Genomic DNA, 24,980 nt, shown 5'->3' on the forward strand with positions numbered 1-24,980 from the left:
TGAATATTGTTAGTCCTTTTTTTTAGGGGTAGATGAAGCACACCAACAAATGCAAAGGTAGAGGCCTTCAGTATTTTGCAACCTGGAGCCTCTTTTCCTGCAAAGAGACAGATGTACACTATCCATCCATAGATATCAAACTCATCTTACCCCAGTATATTTGCATACAGTGTTCCTACAGCCTGGATTTTGATCTGTATTTGAATGAAAATGTAGTGTCTGTATTTCAGACATTTCCCTAGGTGTTAATGTCTTTCTTCAATGTTGCCATGGTTCTTTGGGGACCAGCACACTACTAAATGTGACACATAAGGTTTTGTGGTTGTTTCTTGAGGCCTCCCTGCCAGCAGCATTTCTTTCCATCTTTGTAGACTGTTTTAAACTAAAGATAAGCTTAGAATTGAATAAAATTGTTCTTTCTTGGTTTCCTCCTTGATATATATGTTTTCAAACCTAGTGCTATAAATAATAAAAAAGTAAGAGTCACAGGCTAGATATTATAGGTGTTCTAGATTATTTATGAATGGATAGGCTTAGTGCTACTACAAATTCAACTTACTGCATTTTTCAATCCTCTTTTGGTTTTGTTATATCTTCCCATATCACTTTTTCTTCAGATGAACATGTAAAAGCGGTGTGTGTGTGTGTGTGTGTGTGTGTGTGTAGACACCTAACCTGTGTGGTAAGACCTTTTAAACTTTTGGTTTTGTGGATGTTGACTGGCTGGGCAGATTTCTTGACTCAGTTTGGAAGATCATTTGTTTATCGTGATAACTAGGGATAAATGGCACAATAGTTTCAAAGGCAAGAAATAAAAAAAATTAGACATGGAGTATTTGGGAAATGTGATTTACATATTTATTAAGGATACCCCGAGAATGAACTGAAATTGTTATTTACAGTTTTAGGGCTTGTCTCGATACTAACAGTGACTAAATGTTTTTGTTGTGTGACACTGACTAAGAATTATATTTGATTGAAGCAGGCTTTGAAAATGCAATTGCAGCCCAGATAAAGTAGAATATTTTGAATTCAGCTTTCTAAGAAAGACTCAGACTTTCTTTAAAACAGACTTTCGTCATTCTTGTGCAGAGATATGCTTTGCAGGCCCAGGAGATGTAAGACTTCTGTTTTCTTGCTGACCTTCATCTGTGGAACACAAAGGCTGATAAACTCTTGGCCTCTAATCTTTACTGGACCAGATGAAATTCTTCTGTCCATTCTCATCTTTCAAAGCCTGTTATAGATAGACAAGAACTCAATCAATGTTAATTTTAAAAGGCTTCAAGTGGTTTGACTTTTCTTCAAATATTGACAAAACCTATTGGAGGTATATCATTTTATTTGAGATTTATAGTTGTCTTTAGTCTACAGGACTTAGGATTACTCATTAGATTGTGCAACATAAAAAAGTAAATAAAATGTAGAGTTTACACATAAATTTTCCTGTAAACCGATTTCTTGTAAACATTTTCCCAACTCCATACCCTCATGTAGGTACACAGTCTTATGTTGCTTAACCGTGGGAATATGTTCTGAGAAGTGTGTTGTTAGGCAATTTTGTTGTGCAAAATCATAAGTGTACTTACACAAACCTAGATGGTATAGCCTACTACACACATAGGCTATATGGTACAGCCTGTTGCTTCTAGACTACAAGCCTATACAGCATGTTACTGTACTAAATACTGTAGGTAATTATATCACAACAGCAACTATTTGTGTGTCTAAATATAGAAAAGGTACGGTCAAAATATGGTATAAAGGAGGTAGAGGTGACGGGCCGGAGAAAGATGGAAGACTACCAGGCTGCGGAGGAGACTGCTTTTGTTGTTGATGAAGTGAGCAAATTGTAAAAGAGGCTATAGAAAGCACAATTGGTGGTTAACGCTTATTAACACAGCAAAGTGAACCAGTGGAACACAAATGTAGTAGAACAAACTTCAAGCCAACTCACCAAGCTGGGAAAACCACTTAAATACATTGTGACCTGTGTAATTATGCAAAAGAATGGAGCTGGATTACACATGGCAAGTTCCTGCTTCTGGGACAGCTCTGCTGACAGGAGCTGCACTGTGCGATGGGAGAATAAAACCATGTACTGCATCGTCGGCACCTTTGGACTGTGTATTGGACCTCCTAGTCCAGCCTGTGACCTTCCTCCGGTAGTTCATCTTCTAACACCAGCTATGAATTGAGTGAACTCTTTTCTCGTTCTTTTTAAGTCTGTTTTGTGGCACTCTAAAAATGCAGAGAAAAAAACCAAATGACCGCACTGTTACATGAACTGTGCACTGAAGTCAGATGAGTATCCCTGTAGGTCGCCTGCAGCCTGCATTGCCACTTGTAACTCTGAATATTTCTTTTCAAAGGTGCTAAAATCTGAAATCTGCTGGTGTGAAACTTGCTATACTGTCTGAAATGATTCAAATACACTAATTTTCCATACTTTATACTTTTGTTAGAATAAATTATTCAAATCTAAAAAAATATGGTATAAAAAATAAAGAATGGTTCACTGGTATAAGGCACTAATCATGAATGGAGCTTACAGGACTAGAAGTTGTTCTGGATGAGTCAGTGAGTGAGTGGTAAGTGAATTTGCAGGCCTAGGATGCTACTGTAGACTTTATAAACACTGTACACTTAGGCTACATGACATTTATAAAAATTTTTTTCTTCAGTAATAAATTAACCTGAGTGTACTGTAACTTTTTTACTTTATACACTTTTTAATTAAAAAAAATTTTTTTTACTTTTTTGTATTAACACTTAGCTTAAAACACAAACACACTGTACAGCCGTACAAAAATATTTTCTTTCTTTGTATCTTTATTCCGTAAGGCTATTCTGTTTACTTGTTTATTCTTTTTAAACTTTTTTGTTAAAAACTAAGACATCATTCTAGGCCTATACATGGGCGCGATCAATCACTGTCTTCTACATCCACATCTTGCCCCACTGGAAGGTCCTCAGGGGCAGTAACACGCAGGGAGCTGTCATCTCCTATGATATCAATGCCTTCTTTGTAATACCTCCTGAAAGACCTGCCAGAAGCTGTTGATAACTTTTTTTTAAATAAGTAGAAGGACATCAAGTATAGTGTACTGTACATAATTGTATGTGCTATACTTTTAAATGACTGGCAGTGCAATAGGTTTGTTTAAAACAGCATCACCACGAGCGCGAGTAATGTGTCACTCTACGTTATGAGGGCTATGGTGTCATTAGGAGATAGGAATTTTTCAGCTCCATTATAACCTTATGGGACAACCTTTGTATATGTGGTCTGTCGTTCACCAAAATGTTGTTTTGCAGCACGAGACAATTTCTGTATGTGGGTATGGATGTGCCAAACCACCTGAAAGTTAGTTGCAGATATCATGCATTTTATTCTAAACACTTCAGTGCATATCTCCCAAGAAAAAGACCATTCTTCTACATAACCACGATATCATTACCACACCTAAAAAAAACAAACAAGAATGTCATCTTTGAGCATCCCCATTCCAAAAATGCAAAGCCCGAAATGCTCCCAAATATGAAACGTTACCAACACTAGTGTGACCCAAGTGGAAAATTCACCTGACCTTATGCGATGGGTCACATTCAAAATGCAGGTGCACCACATCTTGTTGATTCAGTGTTCCCAAGGTAAAAAAAAAAAGACCCTTGTGGCCCCCTTTAGCTGCAATATATCTTTTCCACACATGCCCAGATTTTCCCCACATAAGCATGCCTACAAAGGGTAATAAAATGGCATGTATGCAGGCAAGATGTGCTAATGACAGGTTCCACACTATACCTCACATGGGGCCAAGACCTACCTGCATTACTCACTGTATTTTTTTTTGTTTTTTTTGCTCATTTTTTGCTCAGTAGCTTAAAGTTAATGTTGAAAATGTCAAAGAGGCCTGCAGATACCCCTAGAGAGACAGCAGTTTGTTAAAGGGGATAAAGGGGAAGTGTTTATGTTTATAGCACAGAAAGTCAAGCTGTTAGAGAAACTGGACAATGGTGTAAATGTGAAATGTCTTACAGAAAAGTGTGGTGTTCGTATGAGCACCATATATGACCTGAAGAAACAGAAGGAGAAACTGCTGAAGTTCTGTGCTGAAAGTGATGAACAAAAGTTACTGAAAAATAGAAAAACACCACATAATAGCTAAAAATGAAGATCTTGGTAATGTATTAAAAGAGTGGATCTGTCAGACTCACAGTGAACACATGCCATTTGATGGTATGCTCATCATGAAATGAACATCTATCATGAAGAACTGAAAATTGAAGGGAACTGTGAAGATTCAACAGACTGGTTATAGAAATTTAAGAAAAAACATAGCATTAACTTTTTAAAGATTTATGGTGATAAAGCATCTGCTGATCATGAAGCAGTGGAGAAATTCATTGATGAATTCGCCAGGGTTATTGATGATGAAAATTCAACATCAGAACAGGTATAATGCTGATGAAACATCACTGTTTTGGCATGATTACCCCAGAAAGACACTACAGCTGATGAGACAGCCCCTGCAAGATTTAAGGATGCCAAGAGCAGAAAAACTGTGACGGGATGTATTAATGCAGTAGGCCCGTATAGGTATAAATCTATAGGAGGCAAAAGCTTGCATCCTTCCTGTTTTCAAGAAGTGAATGTCTTACCAGTCCATTATTATACTAATCAAAAGGCCTGGATCACTCGGGATACCTTTTCTGATTGGTTTCATAAACATTTTGTACCAGTGCCTTATGCTTATTGCAGGGAAGCTGGACTGAAAGAAGAGTGAAAGATTTTGTTATCCATTGATAACTGTTCTGCTTATGCTGCAACCGAAATTCTCATAAAAAATAATGTTTATGCCATGTACTTTCACCCAAATGCGACTTCATTAATTCAGCCATGTGACCAGGATATCCTTAGATCAGTGAAGGGTAAATATAAAAACACTGTCTTGAACATCATGCTAGCAGCAGTGAACAGAGGTGTGGGTGTGGAAGGTTTTCAGAAGGCGTTTAGCATGAAGGATGTCATACATGCTGTTGCCAGCACTTGGCCAACAGTGACTAAGACACAGTCATGCCTGCTTGGCATAACCTCTGGCCTGTGACTATTCAGTGATGATGATGATGATGAACAAGGTAGTGACTTGGATGGATTCCATATGTTAAAGTGAGAAAAAAATGATATCTGACCTCCTTTTATATGCAAAAAATACATCTTTAGAGTCTGTCAGTAAACGGAAAGAAGGGGATATTAAAGAAGTTTTTATTATCAAATTAATGAAGCTTCAGTTTTTCATTTATTGACTAATGATGAAATAGCTGAAATGGTTCTGAATCAAGGTAAATGTGATATTTAGTGATAATGAGGATGATGTTAACAACGAGGAAGAAATGCCCATAGACAAAGTGCACATTCTGCATATCAAAAGAAACTATCAACAGAGTAAACAGATAATCTGCAGAATGGGAGAAAATATTTACAAATAACTATGTGTCTCACAAAGTTCTAATATTCAGCATCTATAAGGAACTTAAATTTATAAGAAAGAAAACAACCTCATTAAAAAGTGGGTAAGGACGTGAACAGACACTTTTCAAAAGAAGACATGCATGCATCCAACAAGCATATGAAAAACACAATGTCACTGATTATTGGAGAAATGCAAATCAAAACCACAATGAGATACATCTCACACCAGTCAGAATGGCTGTTAAAAAATGTCAAAACAACAGATGCTGGTGAGGTTATGGAGAAAAGGGAATACTTATATACTGTTGGTGGAAATGTAAATTAATTCAACCATTGTGGAAAGCAGTGTGGTGATTCCTCAAAAAGCTAAAAACAGAATTGTCATTCAACCCAGCAGTTCCATTACTGGAAATGGGTATATACCAAAAGGAATAGAAGTCATTCTGTCATAAAGACACATACACACATATGTTCATTGCAGCACTATTCACAATAGCAAAGACATGTAATCAACCTAAATGTCCATCAGTGGAAGACTGGATAAAGAAAATGTGGTACATATACACTGTGGAATACTCTACAGCCATAAAAAAGAATGAGAGCATGTCCTTTGTGGGAACATGGATGGAGCTGTAGGCCATCCATTAATATCTAAGGATACTTACTTAGCAAACTAATGCAGGAACAGAAAATCAAATACCACATGTTCTCTTAAGTGGGAGCTAAATGATGAGAACACATGGACACAAAGAGCAACAAAACAGACACTGGGGCCTACTTGAGTGTGGGAGGTGGGAGAGGATCAGAAAAAATAACTATTGGGTACTAGGCTTAGTAACTGGGTGACCAAATGGTCTGTACAACAGACCTCTGTGGCATGAGTTTACCTATATAACAAACCTGCATGTGTAATCCTGGGCCTAAAGTAAAAGTTTAAAAAAAATAAAAATTAGGCCGGGCGCGGTGGCACATGCCTGTAATCCCAGCACTTTGGGAGGCCAAGGTAGGCGGATCACTTGAAGCCAGGAATTCAAGACCAGCCTGGCCAACATGTGAAACCCCATCACTACTAAAAATACAAAAATTAGCCAGGCACAGTGGCACATGCCTGTAATCCCAGCTAGTCAGGAGGCTGAGGCATGAGAATTGCTTGAACCCAGGAGGCAGAAGTTGCAGTGAGCTGAGGTTGTGCCACTACACTTCAGCCTGGGCAACAGAGCAAGATTCTGTCTCAAAAAACATATATATAAATAAAAAGGAAAAAAACTAAAAAAAGTTTTAAAGAAAATGGAAACAAGCTCCCTCATTCCCCCCCCCATAAAAAAGAAAAAATGCTCTTGATGAAAATGTGTAATGGACTCATTAAAGGATTAGAGCAGTATGCATTCATAACACAAGAAGAAATCATGTCAGTTTATAAAACTGAAGAGAGACTCCTAAGACAAAAACCATTGTTAATGAGGCAGTTGACTAGGGAGGAAACATTTTACAAAGCCATCTAGCAGAATGCCTCCTCATTACTAGAGGACCCACTTCTGGCCCCTCAAATGCTTCTGATGTTTCTTCTCACCTAAAAAAATAAAATACAGTGTACAATAGCCTTTTAATCAAAACACAGCATCGTAGTTGGAGGTTGAAAGCTTGTAGCTGTTTGTTGTAGCTGCTGTTTAACAGTTGATGCAGGTATTCTGGCGATGCTACTGTGCTGCTTAGTTCCCCAGAACTCATTGTTTTTCACTGTATTGATACGTCATATTTTTTACTGTTAAGTATTTGTGTGAACAAGTGTAAGACAATGATTGCCTATTAATAGCATGTAAATTCCGAGTCCGGAATGATGGTGATGCCCAGCAACCACAGATTGTCTACCTGGGTGGCTGAGATAGTGACACTTTTGCTTTTTGGTGCTTCAGTGTACACAAACTTTGTTTCATGCACAAATTTATTTAAAATATAATATAAAATTACCTTCAGGCTATGTATATAGTTGTATATGAAACATAAATAAATTTCACGTTTAGACTTGGGTCCCATCCCCAAGATATATTATTATGTATATGCAAATATTCCAAAATTTGAAAAAATCCAAAATCGAAACACTCAGGTTCCAAGCTTTTTGGATGAGGAATACTCAATCTGTATTATCTAATACATAGTTCATACTCAGATTTCCCATATGTCAAAAAAACTATCTTTTAGCTGTCAATCCAGGGTCACATTAAGATTCCATACCAGCTACTCAGGAGGCTGAGGCAGGAGAATGGCGGGAACCCGGGAGGCGGAGCTTGCAGTGAGCCGAGATCGCGCCACTGCACTCCAGCCTGGGTGACAGAGCGAGACTCCGTCTCAAAAAAAAAAAAAAAAAAAAGATTCCACATTGATTTTAATTGTTACATTATTTTAATATATACAGGGCTTGATCATTCTTTTTGTTTTCTGTGACATTGGCGGTTTTGGAAGTGTTTTCAGAAGGTCTCGCATTCTTATAATATCTGATTGTTCCCTCATGATTAGATTCAGACTACAACTATTTTTAGACATGCATACTTCATGTATGAGGAGTGTTTTTTATTGCATAACATTGCAAAGCACATAATGGTTACTATTTGTAATGTTTACAGACATGCCTTTTTTTTAAGCAGTTAAAACAGTTGCAGAATAGAAAGTGGTATGTTTCTTTATTCATTTAGGTCTTCTTGCCATCTCTCAGCAATGTTTTGTAGTTTTCAGTGTGCAGCTTTTGAAGACCTTTTAAATTTATTTCTAAGGAGTTCATGGTTTTTCGATACTGTGAAAGGAAAATAAAAACTTGGGACCCCAATTTACTATGCCAAAACAAAAAATTCAGCTGAAAGCTGAGTGATGTAAATAAAAAACTGCCTTTCCTTTTGTTCTTAAGCAGATAGCTACAGATAAAGTTTTAAATATCTCCACAGGTAGCTATTCCGTTCACCTTATCTTATTTAAGTGCTAACTTACTGAGGATGAGAGGAATACATAATCAACTATTCCGTACTTGCTCCTTTTCTCTTGCAACATACGGATTCAGTAATGTGACCACACCCTCCCTCGTCCCCCTGCTGCCTGCTTTTCCTCTTTAATTATTGAAGCCCTCAAAATCATATTTGGAGAAAGGCACAAACTTCCCTTTCAGGCATGTCCTTAACCGTGGCAAGATAAACTTCTAAATTGATTGAGACCTGTCTCGGATTTCTTTTTGTCTTAGAATACTGTTATTGGGAGTGGAATTAAAAATATTTTCCAATATTTTGCTATTATTATATAGAAATACAACTGCTTTGCATGTGTTAACATTGGATCTTGTGACCTTGCTAGTTTAGTTTTACTGTTAGTTTCAGTAGGAATTTTCTGTGTCTGTGAATAAAGGTAATGCTTGTTTTCCCCCTTGCCTTTCTATACTGGCTGGGTCCTCCAGTAGAATCCTGAATAGTAATAATAATAGTAGGCATATTTGCCTTATGCCCAATATTAATTAAAAAGAAAGTGTTCTATATTTCACCAGTAAGTATAATGTTAACTCTTGGTTATTTTAGATGCCCTTTATGGAAATGAAGATGTTTTCTTCTCTTAGTGTGTTGTTATTTCTGTTGTTATTAGTGGGTTTTACATTTTGTCAGATGCTAATTCTACATTTATTGAGATGATCACATTATTTTCTTCCTTTCTATAAATAATGGTGCATTGCATTGATTTTCAAGTATTAAGTTAGTATTGTATTCTTGAGATAAACTCTACTTGGTCATGATACATTACCTCTTTGTATGTTGCTGGATTAGGTTTGCTCATATTTTGTTATTTTTGTGTCTTTCTGTGCAAGGGCTATTAATTGTCTTGTAATGACTTTGTCAGGTTTTCAAAAATCGTTATGCTGGCCTCATGAAATGAGTTGGGAAGCGTACCATCTCTCACTTTTTTGAAAAAAAAATTTGTGTAAGGCCAGTGTTATTTCTCACGTATTTGAAAAGAGTTCACCAGTGAGCCCATCTGGGTGTGGACTTTTCTTTCTGGGCAGGTTTTTAATAACATTCATTAAGTAACATAGTTTAAAGGTTATTCACACTTTGATATTCTTTTTGGTAGGTTTTCATTTTCAGAAAATATTTCTGTTTCATCTATTTCTGTAAGAACAGTAGTAATGGCCCCTCTTTCATTCTGATTTTAGTAATTTGTATCTTTTCTTTTTCTGTGGGTCAGTCTAGCCAAAGGTGTGTCCATTTTATTGATCTTTTCAAAGTACTGTTGGTTTTCTTGACTTTTCTCTATTGTTTTTCTATTCCTGTTTTACTTGTCTTCACGTTACTTTTTCTTACGTTCTTCCTCCTGCTTGCTTTGTATTTCATTTGTTCTTTTTTTTCTAATTCTTTAAGCTATAAAGTAGGTTTGATTTGAGATGTCTTCTCTTCTAATGTATGCATTTTACACTATACATTTTCTTCTGAGCACTACTTCTATATCCCACAAATTTTGGGAAGTTGTAATTTCATTTTCATTTAGTTCAATTTTTTAACTATTTCTTGAGACTTTTTTGATCCATTTGTCATTTAGAGGTGTGTTGTTAAATCTTCAGATATTTGAGGACTTTGCAGATATCTTCCTGTTACTGATTTCTAATTTATTTATTTTGTGATCTGAGAACATGCTTTGCATGCTTTCCATCTTTTAAAACAAGGTGTGTTTTATGCCCCAGAATGTGGTCAGGATTAATCAATGTTCCATGCTAGTTTGGGGAAAATGTTGATCTTGATGATGTTGGATGGAGTATTTTTTCTCTTGGTTGAATATCTGGGATTTTAATGTGTACCTTATCAGGCAAATACTTATATTTACAACAAAAAAAAACAAAGTAAATAGCTTACAGTGAATTTTATGCAGCACAGTACTCATGCTCAAAGCAATATACAGATGTCTTTAGTTGATGCTCACAGGCAGAGAATGTAATACAGTCAACTATTATGCTTCTCTGGGCATTTCTTTCAACAGCAGTTACTCTCAGACTTAGCGAAGGATCCATTGTCAACTCTGTGCCAACAGGACCCTCTCTCTCTCTTCCCTTTTCCTGACACATCATTTAGATGGTCCCTAATTTCAAGGAAATGTAAAGATGTTCTTTCACAGAAATTACTAAAAATGATTTCTGCGGTACATAGGATAATATATTACTGTCTTGGCAGTGCTTTAATTTGGCTACAAATGACTAACAGACAAATATCTTTACACATATGTGTAGTGATAAATTTAGCGTTATTGTGAAGTATGGGTGGAATAATTGTGATAAATTTAGCTCTTGTTTTGCTTTTGTGTCTCAAATATATTGTGGTATGGCCTCATCCACCGAGCAAAGTCTTTTAAAAATCGAAGACAGTCTTTTTTGTTTGTTTGTCACTCGTTGCCCCAAATTTGACCTAATTCTTTTTTTAAAACCTTTTTATTTTTTAATTTTTTTTTTGAGATGGAGCCTCGCTCTGTTGTCCAGGCTGGAGTGCAGTGGCATGATCTCGGCTCACTGCAAGCTCTGCCTCCCGGGTTCACGCCATTCTCCTGCCTCAGCCTCCTGAGTAGCTGGGACTACAGGCACCTGCCACCAGGCCCAGCTACTTTTTTGTATTTTTAGTAGAGATGGGGTTTCACCGTGTTAGCCAGGATGGTCTCGATCTGCTGACCTCCTGATCCACCCGCTTCGGCCTCCCAAAGTGCTGGGATTACGGGCGTGCGCCACTGCACCTGGCGACCTTGTAATTCTTTATGTTTTCCAGTTTTCTTCCTTTGTCTCCCTCTTCCCTCAGCTTCAGCTTTGTAAATGCTTTTGAGTCTTTGAGGGGAATAGTTAAATGAATTGCTTAGTGTTCTCTTTATGGAAGTAGCCATTAAGTTTTTTGTTGTTTGTTTTTATGATAATGATGACTTCCTATTACTTCCATTCTGACGCTAGACATGGATTCCTCTAGGAATATACTGGCATTTTGGCTGTCTACCCAGCTGTTGCTTCCATTTGCCTATTCCTTGAGTGTAAGGCAATTAATAACTTACACTTGTCTTTATGTTCCAGCCTGAAAGAATAGACCCAAGCGCATCACGACAAGGATATGATGTCCGCTCTGATGTCTGGAGTTTGGGGATCACATTGGTATGTTTATGCTGATTCAACCTTGCCACAGTAGCGTAACAATAAGAAATTTAGAAGTGAAAGAAAACTTAATCAGACTTCCCCGTTCGTTAAGAACTATAATCACAGACACTATGGTTTTAAGTTGCTGAAAAAAAAAAAGTATGTATTTATTTACTTTAAAAATCAAATCAGACTTGATTATTTCCCTTGAAGTTATGTGAAGTGTCTAGAGCCCTTTAATGTTTTAACTGGATCTCTTGGCCACAGATAATAGGAGTCAACTATTATCTGCAACTGCACTAAGAATGGGAACAGGACAAGCCAGCTTACCTGCAGTCAATTCATTGATGAAGGCACATAGGCTTCTCCCATCTCAGGCAAGGTGTAGTATGTCCAGTAATACTGTATATAGTGTGTATATTAAGTATACGTATTTTTATATGTGGAAAATAGTTTCTACTTGCAATATTCTATTCACTGAATAGTAAAATCACAAGTGAATGAGCTGAAAGTAATTCAGTTTTTGAGGGACAATATATTAGTCCATTCTCACACTACTGTAAAGAACTACATGAGACTGGGTAATTTATGAAGAGAGGTTTAATTGCCTCACAGCTCCACAGGTCGTACAGGAGCAGGGGAGAGAGAGAGTGAAGGGGAAGGTGCCAGACACTTTTAAACAACCAGGTCTCATGAGAACTCTATCATGAGACAGCACTAGGGGGATGGTGCATTAGAAACCACCCTCATGATCCAATCACCTCCCACCAGGCCGCTCCTTCAACACATAGGGATTATAATTCGAAATGAAATTTGGGTGGGGACACAGAGCCAAACCATATCAGACAAGAACTACCTAGGTGATAATTCTAAATGAAAGTTCTACCTTAGAACAACACTGAGAAAGAATAATAAGAAAGCTACTTAATTTGCAACAAGCAAGCGCAATTATATAAACTCTTCTTTCTTACCTATGGACTGTATTGAAATTTTGGTTTCATTTAAAATATCTGTATTAGTTCAGGCTGCTCCAACCAAATGCTGACCTCTGGGCTATAATCTTATCAAGAACAGAAATTTCTCACAGTTTCGGAGGCTGGGAAGTCCAAGATCAAGGCACTGACAGATTTGGTGGCTAGTGAGGGCTTGCTTCCTGGTTCATAAACAGCCATCTTCTTGTTGTAGTCTCACATGGCAGAAGAGGCAAGAGAGCTGTCTGGGGTCTTTCTTACAAGGGCACTAATTAGATTAATGAGGGTTCCACCCTCGTGACCCCATCACTTCCCAAAGATCCACCACCAAATACCATCACATTAGGGATTAGGCTTCAACATATGGATTTGCTGGGGGGTGGGGACACACAAACATTCAGTCTCTAGCAGTATCTTTGCTCATTTCCTTTTTACCAAATTTTGTTTTGAAGTCTTCGGTTTATTTTCTTGTGCTTGCTGTTCTACCAGGACTTGCTGGGTTTTTCTGATTTGGGATAGCTTCTTTAGCTGCTTCTACATTGAAGGCGAATTTTCTATCCCTAGATGAGGCTGTCCTGTAGGTAGGCAGGCCAATCCTCTTCTTTCATTTTCTCCCATTTTCAGTTTTTGCTACCTAAGACTCTATAGCCCAGAAATACACAGGTTCAGAGCAATGGGCTTTTTTTGTAGCTTATTAAATAATCTTCATTTGTTCATTGGTATTACATGTTTCTAGGATCTTCTCTGTGATCAGAAGCACATAACCTTGTTAGTTATTCTTGATGAATCATATTGCTAGGCCTAGAGAATTCTTCGTATAGAGAGTTGAAGGCCAACAGCTCACCTCTGCAGAGGACTTTGATTTACTTTACTTTGTGACCAAATATAGGAAATACCTTCTGGAATCTTTTCTCATTGTGAAGCCAACCAGCTAAAGAAGAGATTCTTCTTTAGACAGGAGAGAACATGGATCTCGGGCATCTTTTAGGTTTGGCAACTGGTCCCAAAGACTGCAGCAAGACCTAGAGCTTCCAGCTGAGGCAACTATTTGCATACACAGGATATTTACAATTCAGAAATACTTATCTATGACTAAACAATTACGTTTTAAAAGCAAGTATGTACTTCTTTACAGAAAGAAAATTTTGTGAAAGGTTTTAACAGAAAATTTTTTAGCAAGTTTCTTTTAGTACTTTTAGCTAAACCTTGTTGTTTAAAAGGTATTCTGTACTTACAGTTGGTTCATAATTTATTTTTCATAGGGACAGTCTTATAAAAATTGTGAAATGTATGAAATTAATTTCTAAGATCCTAAGTCCTTTATTTTATGACATACAGCCAACTTTTCCTTCTATTATTAAAACACAAGAAGGAATCTAATGAAGTTATTCCTAATTCTGTGAATAACCAGGAAGGTTTATGTCTTGAAAAGCATTTATAATTTTAACAGAAAGAAACTTCAGCTAACGGAATACATTTTTCTGTGTGTGTATGCATGCATGCCTGCTTACTTTTGTGCACACATGTGTGTAATTAGAAACAACAGTGAGCTGACAGAGGCATCCTTTAGGGAGGAAACGGAATCAGTGTTCTGAGAGTTCTCTCTCTCTTCCTGTATGCCATCTTCCTCTGTAATATGTTTGGAGCCTCATCCTCATGTATCAGTCACCTGTCAGTGCATGTAAAATGGGATTCATTATGCCATGGTGCAGATTTAAATATGTTTCTTGGAAAAAGCAAAATTTGTAGGTTTTCTTTTCTTTTGTTTTTTGAGATGGAGTCTCTCTCTGTCCCCCAGGCTGGAGTGCAGTGGCGCAATCTCGGCTCACTGCAAACTCCGCCTCCTGGGTTCATGCCATTCCCCTGCCTCAGCCTCCTGAATAGCTGGGACTACAGGCGCCTGCCACCACGCCCGGCTAATTTTTTGTATTTTTAGTAGAGATGGGGTTTCACCGTGTTAGACAGGATGGTGTCCATCTCCTGACCTCCTGATCCACCCGCCTCGGCATCCCAAAGTGGTGGGATTACAGGCGTGAGCCACTGTGCCCGGCCTAATTGGTAGGTTTTCATTATTTTTCAGAACAGAAAGGGAGATAGATGAGAATACGATTCACTGGTTATTAGAGAATATTTTTTTTTTGGACCCTTGATAGGATTGGGACATACGTAAGACTCTTCAGATCTCTTCTGGTGTGGCTTAGAGGTACTGTCCTGAGCCCTTTATTGGGGCTTCAGGATGCAGGGTTTGACCCTGACTTGATTTCTTCACTACTTGTAAAATCTGGTTGTGGTTGAAATTGTAGTATCTGCAGAATAGCTGTAGAGCAGGATTTGCACATTGTTTCCTCCAAGCTCAGATTAGGCTTTTGTTTGTTGGATGTTCTTTTGCCTTAAAAAGGAGTCTAACCACGATTATGGACCAAGGCCTTCCTCTAAGATGGCTACAAATTGTGCGTATTCTATAGTAAAATAGTTCTAAAACCAGTCTTCCAGACTTTCTTATAAAGAAGTCAGAACCACAGGCTGCCCTGGAGCATGCATTGTAGGGACATTGTCTAGGCTTAAGTTTTGTGTTCCCATGTATTCCAAGTCCTTGAATTTGGTTGATTCAGAATTCTCTATATTATTTTGATTTCTAAATATAACTTCTACTTAGCCTTTATGATTCTGAAGATTCCTCCCCAAGCTAACCTGTGTTTAATTCAAGGCTTTACTAGAGTTTTGCTTGTAGTTTAGATTTTTTTGTGGCCCTTCCAGTGGGGAGTAGTAAATGATGCCTGGTGTATTTTGCTCTTTCCTCTTTGTTCTCTTTAGTATGAGTTGGCCACAGGCCGATTTCCTTATCCAAAGTGGAATAGTGTATTTGATCAACTAACACAAGTCGTGAAAGGAGATCCTCCGCAGCTGAGTAATTCTGAGGAAAGGGAATTCTCCCCGAGTTTCATCAACTTTGTCAACTTGTGGTGAGTACCTGATTTATGAATGGTCGAACACGCATGGCGAGAATAGTGAGATTTACTTGGTCTTAGCAGCATTGGTACTTTACATGGAGGAAGGGGACCCTTGGTCACATCACCCTACTTTTCAAGCTGGGACTCTGGATCACTGTGGCTGTATGGAAGGTTACAGCTAGCTGGGAGAGGCATCACCTTCTTATTCTGCTACTCAGGTATTGGTGAAAAACAGCCATGAGTGGTGGAGAGGCTGCTGTCTCCAGACTTCCAGTACCTGGTACAAGAAATACCAGGTTAAACTTCTAGGTGAGACTGATCATCTTACTCTAATGTGGTTCTCACAATGCAATTGCACCAAAATCACCTGGAAGCATTTACTGAATCAAGAGCTTGCCAGATCAGACTTTCAGGGTTGGATCTCTGTTCTGACATAACATAGAAAACAGTTGGTTATATGTAGTAGGGTCACATCCACACGCAAAGTGTAGTTGGTAGAACTGTATATCTTTGCTCTCTGAAACCTTACTCCAAGGAAGATGTGAACCCCACACCTGTTGTTGTTTGTCTACCTTTTTAATAGTTTGTTGTGTGTTTGTGTATATGTAGCACCTAAGAATAAACATATGCAGATATGGCAGTAATATAATCATGCTTTATACTGTTTTAGGCTCTTTTAAATAAAATCTTTTTGTGTTATCATTTGGATATTTTTGACATTTATTTTGTTTATCCAACATGATTTAAATATAAGACATGCTATGAACAAAAAGCCTCAGAGCATTTTGTGTATCTTCTGTTTATTCCTGAAAATACCTTTTGGTTTCTCATAATTTTTTCCTGCTAAGAATGCGGTTTCTCCTCATTTTAGGTCTTATAGACTTAAATCAGGGTCTAACATTGCCCTCCTTTGTATGAAAAATTTAAAAATATTTGTTTGACTATAGTTTTTAAGTCTCTTTCATCTTCTGTAACCAAATTCTACTTTTGTGTTGGTTTTTCAGAGGGGAGAGGAATACTTCAAGATTTTCTAGGTAGAAGAAGGACATAAGGATGACTCAAATTGGCTGCTTCCTCCTTTTAAAAAACAATCAATTCTGTACTAATTTGCACACAGTATGGATAGTTTATATAATTGCATAAATGTGATCATTTTATGTATTTCATTTTTATGACATATTTGCTTAAAATGATCTGTGTAAGTCATAGGGTATAATATCTAAAATGATCACCTGTGAACCTTCCATCAGGGTTTCTTTTTAACTCCTTGATCTCTTTATTGGTTTTGTTCTGTATGTGTTGGTACTTGTACATGTTTATTTCTGTTTCCCTTGATGCCATAATAGAGTGACAGTTTTAGACATTGGAGTCCCATTGTTTTCCCTGAGTAGGTTCATAGTTCCATGTCATTGCAAATCATTAAGGTCTACATTGAAGTGTACTTATGTTCATAATATGCTCATATTAGCTCTCCACATTTGTCCATTCTTTCTGCCACTCTTTGTCTTGGACATTGCCTGTAATCTCTAACCTGGATCATTCAGATTTCTCATAATCCAATATTGATTTTCTTATAATCCAATATTGTCTTGTTCCAAATTATTCCCCTTTTTATTAGAGTTGTATTTTTTATGATGTATATCTGATCATGTTACTTCTCTATCTAAAGTATGCATTCTTAGCAGGGTGATATTGACCCTAAGGAGGCAAAAATTGATTTTGGAGAAATGAAAATCTTAGGTTGTATAATGGTTTTTAGTCCTCCAAAGGGCCATAGAATATAAACAGATATGCACTATATCTATCATATTTAAATTTCATGATGGGGAGGATAAATAATGAAAAAAATACTGAGAGATACTATTCTATAGAGACTTCCTCTTGTCCTTAAAATTAATTAATTTAGGCTTTCAGAACCCATTACGATCTGGACTTAGTTTATTGCTCTGGTCACATTTCTTTTTTTTTTTTTTTTTCTTTCTTGTTTTTTTGGAGATGGAGTCTCAGTTGCCCAGGCTGGAGTGTAATGATGTGGTCGCAGCTCACTGCAACCTCCACCTCCCGGGTTCAAACGATTCTTCTGCCTCAGCCTCCTGAGTACTGCTGGGATTACAGGCACCTGCCACCACACCCAGCTAATTTTTTTTTTTTAAGTAGAGACAGTTTTCACCATGTTGGCCAGGCTGATCTCGAACTTCTGACCTCGTGATCTGCCCGCCTCGACCTCCCAGAGCGCTGGGATTACAGGCATGAGCCACTGCCCCCGGCCCGCTCTAGCCACATTTCTCATGACTTCCCTCTCCTTGAATGGTTTCTGCCAAACTGAATTTCTTCAGTTACATAAATTAAAAGCACATACAGGATAATATGGGAGAATGTTTTCATTACGTTTGGGTAAAGATTTCTGAAACAGAACGTAGAAAGTAGCCAAACCTAAGAGAAAGATTGATTAAAAAAAAATGGATTTCATTAAAATTAAGAACTTCCATTGATTAAAAGACAGCACTGAATGACATGCCAAGCCACACAGTAGAAGGAGATATTTTTCATACTTATATTCGACGAAGGACTTTTACACAGAATATGTAAAGAATACTTAAAAATGTAAAACACTTATGAAAAATAACAACCAAAAATAGCAAAATACTTGAAAGGCACTTTAAAGATGATATTCAAGAGGCCAGTAAACATATTCAATTTACTGCATTCATTCTGCATTATTAGTAATCAGGAGACATGCAGGTCAGAACTACAGTGAAATACCACTATAATTACCAGAATGACCACAGTTTAAAATACTGACAGTACCAAATATTGGTGAGGATCTGAAGCAACTGGAAGTCTCATACATAACTTGTAGGAGTATAAATTAGTACAGTTCCTTTGAAAAACAAGCAGTATCCAGTATAGCTGATCTAATATGGTTGATGTATACACCATGGTTCAGCAATTCAAGTTCTGACTATATACCCAACAAAAGTGTGGACATAAATACACTAAAAGACATATGTAAGAATGTCCGGAAAAGCACATTTATAACCTACAATTAGAAACTCTCTCCACAGTAGAACAGATAATAAATTGTAGCATTATGTATACAGCAGTATATAGCATCAGAGAAGATAGAACCATTGCTTCACTCAGCAACTTCAGTAAATCTCACGAATGATGTTGAGTGAAAGAAGACAGAAAGCAGTATGTATGGTTCTATTTCTATATGAAAGTTAAAAGCAAACAATATAAGGTATTGGAAGTCAGAATATTGTTACTTTTTAGTTCTGCACTTAGGAGTTGTGTTTTCTGTATGTCTGCTTCGATTAAAAGTTTTCCTAAGGAAAAAAAAAAAAGGATAAGACTTAATGGTTCAAAAGGAAGACCTTGCCGACTGAGGTGTCTGAGCGCTCAGCATTGGGAAATGGTCGACTCGTGGGTTGATAAAAAGAATTTACAGACAACAGTATAGGTTTGAAAAAGGAAAGTTTATTAGAAAGAAAGTATGCTGCAGAAGAGTGCAGAAGGGTGCTGAGCGTGCCACAGTGGATTTTTCCTTAGGGGTATTTATGGACCTTAAAGCTTGAGGATAATTTGGACCATATTAGCCATGTAGGTAACAATAAATGATTACATTTGTAGTAATTTTGGTTCCTTAATGTCAGCAAGTGTTGCACAGTGAATTTCGACATGGCATTCTGGAGATGTATAGAAATTCTAGTTACTTACAAAGTTTTTTTGGGGAAAAAATCTGGAACCAATGCCTGCTTTAGATAATAGGGAAGTCTGATTACTTCTTGGGTTTTGTTGTTGTTGTTGTTGTTGTTGTTTTTAATATGGAGCCTTGCTCTGTCGCCCAGGCTGGAGTGTAGTGGCGCGATCTCAGCTCACTGCAACCTCTGCCTCACAGGTTCAAGCGATTCTCCTGCCTCAGCCTCCTAAGTAGCTGGGACTACAGGCTCATGCCACCATGCCTGGCTAATTTATGTATGTTTAATAGAGATGGGGTTTCACCACACTGGCCAGGCTGGTCTTGAACTGCTGACCTCAAGTAATCCGCCCGCTTCAGCCTCCCAGAGTGCTGGGATTACAGGCGTGAGCCACTGCGCCAGGCTGGGAAGTTTAATTACTTCTGATTTTCCCCAGATAAGGAATTTTGCTTCTAGATTGCCTGTTGGATAGTCATCGGGTGGTTTTTGCTCCTTCTGCATTCCTCAGATAAGGAATTTTTGTCTCTAGGGCCTGTTCAGTGGTCACCAAGTGATTTTGCTCTCCTCAGATCTCAGCCCATATTTTAAACTGTTTCCCAATTTAACTATCTATTGAAATCACCATTGGAATTTTTTTTAGGGGAAAAATTCTTTATTTGTCCTGGGGGAAGAAAAAACAAAAAATGTTATTCTTGAGGAATTTTTGTGAAACTCTGGATGGGGATAAGACTGAATTCAGGGATGGATTGCCTAATCCAAAATTTATCGTGTGCAGAGGGGAATATAAAAAGTCACTAGGACGATATAAGACCCATATACAACTCTGTAGCTTGGGCAGCAGACCTGGAAGAAGAGGCAACTTGTGGGACTGCCTAATTGTGCAACTAATTAGGCAGTAAAGCTCGATCCTGAAATGTCTTGAGGAAATGCCTTCTGTGCTAGATCTCACAGGCAGCTGGGACAGTGTAGTAGTATCTACTCCTGCCTTTCTCTTAGCAGCAAGACCTGTAAAGAAAAGCTCAAGCTTTGCTGAAATAACTTCTAACAACAACGCCTGTGTTGGTTAGAGGGCGGGAGCACAGTGCATGCTGTTAGAGCAAATGCAAAAATTAAATCCCTATAGTAGGTGATGATGCTGCAGTGATGGCTCTCCACCTAGGTGATGATACTGCAATGATGGCTCTCCACCTAGGTGATGATACTGCAATGATGGCTCTCCACCTGTTTCTCACAGTTAACCTGAATCCATAGCTGAGATTAACTGTGATAAAGAAAAATCACTAACAGATGAAAACTTTCAGTGATTCGGAGAATTGTACCTAAGAAATCTAAACAAATATTTCCTTTAAAATGTCACAGAAAAAAAAACAAGGTAAAAAATTGTAAGGAGGGAATAATTTGAATTCCAGAAACGTTATCTTCAGATAGTAAACATGATTCCTGAACTGAATGGGGGAAAATGGTGGCACACAGCAGATTGAGTATTGCAGGTTAACCAGATCTGTAAGTAACACCGTTTAGTTAATCTTTAAGAATAAAGGGCTAAAAAGATGAACATGAGGTAAATGGTAAGAGAGAAGAAAAATCCAAAATATTCTATTTAGCTGATTGTAGACAAAGAATTAAAATTAAAATTCCTTCTACTTGAAGAATAACTCAAGTTCTTAGATTAAAATACCAGACCAAATTAAACAAGAGAGTAGAGGGAAGCCACATCTAGATGTGTTCTGAGAAAAGATAAGACTTGACAAGTTTTCAATTAAAACACATGCACACAAATGTACACAAAACACCAAGTCAGCAATACCTGAAGAGCAGAGAAACAGCTATAACAGGAGGAATGTGGTTACTTCACATTACTTTGGTGCATTAGATATCTTGGACAACACTTGCACTGAAACTACTAAAATGCTGGATAAGCTTTTTATTTTATTTATTTTGAGATAGGGTCTCACTCACTCTGTCACCCAGACTGGAGTGCAGTGGCATGATTGCAGCTTACTGCAACCTCAACTTCCCAGGCTCAAGCGATCCTCCCATCTCAGCCCCCCGAGTAGCTGGGACTACAGGAATGTGCCACTACACCTGGCTAATTTTTGTTTTTTTGTTGTTTTTTGCTTTTTTGTTTTGAGACGGACTTTTGCTCTTGTTGCCCAGGCTGGAGTGCAATGGCATGATCTCGGCTCACCGCAGCCTCAACCTCCCGGTTTCAAGTGATTCTCCTGCCTCAGCCTCCAGAGTAGCTGGATTACAGGCATGCACCACCACACCTGGCTAATTTTGTATTTTTAGTAGAGTTGGGGTTTCTCCATGTTGGTCAGGTTGGTCAGCTCTTGACCTCAGGTGATCCGCCTGCCTCGGCCTCCCAAAGTGTTGGGATTACAGGCGCGAGCCACTGCGCCTGGCCCACCTGGCTAATTTCTTAAAAAAATTTTTGTAGAGACTGGATTTCACTGTATTACCCTGGTTGGTCTTAAACTCCTAGGCTTAAGCGATCCTCCTGCCTCGGCTTCCCGGAGTATTGGGATTACAGTGGCGTGAGCCACTGTACCTGGCCTGGATAAGCATTTTAAAGTGCCATTTATTTATTTAGGACAGAGTCTGGCTCTGTCGCACAGGCTGGAGTGCAGTGGCATGATCTTGGCTCACTGCAGCCTCCACCTCCCAGGTTCAAGTGATTCTCCTGTCTCAGCCTCCTGAGTAGCTGGGACTACAGGCACGCACCACCACTCCCAGCTAATTTTTGTATTTTTAGTACAGACAGGGTTTTGCCACGTTGGCCAGGCTAGTCTCGAACTCCTGACCTCAGGTGATCCGCCTGCCTCAGCCTCCCAAAGTTCTGGCATTACAGGGGTGAACCATCGTGCCCCACCTAAAGTCCCTCTTAAAATGTAAAAGAGTTGGTGCAAAACTGAGGAATCCATGGAGCTCTGAAGTTGACTGAAATTCAGGGAGGGAGATTATGGGAGAGAAGGAAGAGTCAAAGTAAATTAAAGGATAACCCAAGCAAATGTAGATTTGCCATCTAAATTCATATTGAATATGGTAAAAATACTTAGAGAATTTAATTTTAAGAAAAATTACTTTTCAGAGTCCCTGGTTGGAAAGATATGCTCCTCTTGCCCCCAGTTGATGGGCAGAAGCAAAAGCAAATCATTCAGCCTAGGACTAAATGATTCCAAAAAATAAAGTCAAGTGGAATATGTAGTCCACAAAAAAATCTCAACACTCACAAAAGAAATGAGAATCAGAAACAATGGATAGTAGGAATAGATCTGCAAAGGCTTCAAATATTGGAATGAAAGGAAACAAAAAATAAGTTTAAAGAAAAAGAGGCAGCTTAGAAATATAAGCAGGGAACACATTTATAAAGAACCAAATAGAACTTCTAGAAATAAAAAGCATAAATTAAAACAATAGCTGCATTCAACAGATTAGATATCATTGAAGAGAGATTAATGAACTAGAAGACAGAGCTGAAGCTCTCCCAATAAAACTTTTTGAGATGCTGGAAATGTCCTATAATCTGCTCTGTCTAGTGTGGTAGCTGCTGGCATTTGAAATGTGGCTAATGTAACTAAGGAAATGCATTTTTTATTGGAATTAAGTTTGCTAACGGCTACCTTATTAGATAGTCTAAGGGGAGCTAATATAATTATTGATAACATTATTAGTGTCAGCTGTAATTCAGAAAAAGAAGACAGTCAATGTTAATAGTTTAAGATTTCAACCCAAATAGCATCATAAGTTTATACACTGACATAATTTTCTGCTCCAGTAGATGAAATAGAAAAACACAAAACCAGAAAGGTATGGCAGCTTTACAAAGAAAGCAAACCTCTGTGTGGGTGAAAAAATGCAACAAAAATACTGACAGAATGCTGTGTAGATCTGATGCCATGGACTTGCTGTATTCCAGGTCATTTTTCATTCTGGAGAATGAAAAAAATGATATCAGTTACTTCCTGGGCCACAGCTTTAAGCAAGCTATGGTACTACACAATGACAAGGCTTTAGATACTGGTTTTGCAACCAGAGGACTGGAACTGTAATTGTCCTAATACCAACATAGGAGTGGAACTTGAAAGGTCCATTACAGGACCCTGTTTGATACTGGTGGCCCTGTGAAATAGAGGCAACTGTAAAACTGCTCTATGTGTGTATCCCTGGCTCCCAGTTCAGTTCATAGTGATTAGTGGGGCACTCAGACATATGTTGAACAAATGAATGGATATGCATGGAGGGTAAACATGTTATTTCAAAATGAGTCTGCAAATCATAATTCTTGAATACTGAAGTGTAATGCTAAGAAAGCATTTAACAAAATGGAACAGAAACTTACTTTAAGTTGAAATAGATTTATGAAATTGTCTGAAATATGCTGTAAAAGAAAATCAGTATATTTAGGATGCTCAAGGAAATAAAGGTATAAATTCAATTAAAACTGAGGAAGAAATAAAGTGGTTGGAAATAGAAGTCTTGGAAATGGAAAAATCATAGCTGTTGATATAAAAGACACAACAGACTTGATGTTCTCTAGACTGGAAATAATTGAAGACAAAATTAGGGAAATAGGAGCTGAGACGTTCCCCCAGCATGGCACAGATTATATGAAAAGCAGTGAAGAATCAGAACAGATTGCAGAGTTAGAGGTTCTAAGATGCATGTAATGGAAATAAAGAAGGCAACTCTGAAAGTGGAGAAGCAATGTTTACAGAGATCATAGGGGAAAGAAAACATTTGAGAACTGATTTAGTATAGGTTTTCAGATTGAAAGTGAAGTCTCTTTATCATGTAGGATAAACAAAGGTATAAGCTTAAAGGTAAATTTAAATATAAATTTAAAAGTAAATTTTAATTGATATTCTGTAGTTTTGCTTCAGTGCATAAATGATAAACAAAGGTATAAATTTACCTTTTAAATTTATATTTAAATTTACCTTTAAATTTATACCTTTGTTTATCATCATTTATGTATTGAAGCAAAATTACCGAGCAATATCAGGAAGAGAAAACAGATTATCTGTTAAGGATTGATAATAAGACTAACAGCAGATTTGTTCCCAGCCACAATAGTTGCAGGAAAAAGTGGAGTCACAGCACCAGAGTGCTGAGGGAAAATAATTGTCAGCCTGGTCCTAAAGTTTTAGACTCAGACACTCAAATATTCACAGTAAGGAAGAAATACAGTTTTAGGAATGGGAAGACTGAGCACTTACAATTTATAGACTGCTTTGATCCTTGAATGGTGTGGAGGTTAGGGATGCTGACCCCCTGTACAGTCAAAAATCCGCATATAACTTTTGATTACCCCAAAACTTGACTACTAACAAATAGCCTACTGTCAACCAGAAGCCTTACTGATAACATAGTTAACATATATTTTGTATATGTATTATATACTGTATTATTACAATGAAGTAAGCTAGAGAAAAGAAAATGTTATTAAGAAAATCATAAGGAAGAGAAAATATATTATTTATGAAGTGGAAGTGGATCATCATAAAGATCTTCATCCTTGTCTTCACATTGAATAGACTGAGGAAGAGGAGGAGTTGGTCTTGCTATCTCGGGTGGCAGAGGCAGAAGAAAAATCCATGTATAAGTGGATTTGTACAGTTGAAATCTGTGTTGCTCAAGGGCCATCTGTACTTGACCAAGAAGAGAAGTTAACCCAGAAGAAGGATGTCACAGGTTGGATGCCTGGAAAGCAGGCTTTTGAGACAGAGATAAGAGTGTAGGAAGTTGACTAGGTAG

At 37.8% G+C, this 24,980-nt stretch overlaps 1 protein-coding gene and 1 pseudogene across 6 annotated transcripts in view; both read left to right on the top strand.

Moving 5' to 3' along the window:
* MAP2K4 (mitogen-activated protein kinase kinase 4) overlaps positions 1-24,980 on the top strand; it is a 122,952-nt gene that overhangs the window by 92,877 nt on the left and 5,095 nt on the right. For 3 of the 6 annotated variants that reach the window (NM_001281435.2, NM_003010.4, XM_005256753.4), the window contains 2 exons: positions 11,541-11,618; positions 15,386-15,534. In NM_001281435.2, coding sequence (NP_001268364.1) covers positions 11,541-11,618; positions 15,386-15,534 — 227 coding nt within the window. Of the gene's footprint in view, positions 1-11,540; positions 11,619-11,867; positions 12,206-15,385; positions 15,535-15,740; positions 15,832-24,980 lie in introns of those variants that run through there. The other 3 variants (XR_007065381.1, XR_007065382.1, XM_011523976.3) reach the window with 2 other exon arrangements.
* LOC103156999 (dynein light chain Tctex-type 1 pseudogene) lies at positions 1,766-2,486 on the top strand (annotated as a pseudogene).

The sequence above is a fragment of the Homo sapiens genome, chromosome 17, assembly GCF_000001405.40.
Source record: "Homo sapiens chromosome 17, GRCh38.p14 Primary Assembly".
In the NCBI taxonomy this organism is placed as follows: domain Eukaryota; kingdom Metazoa; phylum Chordata; class Mammalia; order Primates; family Hominidae; genus Homo; species Homo sapiens.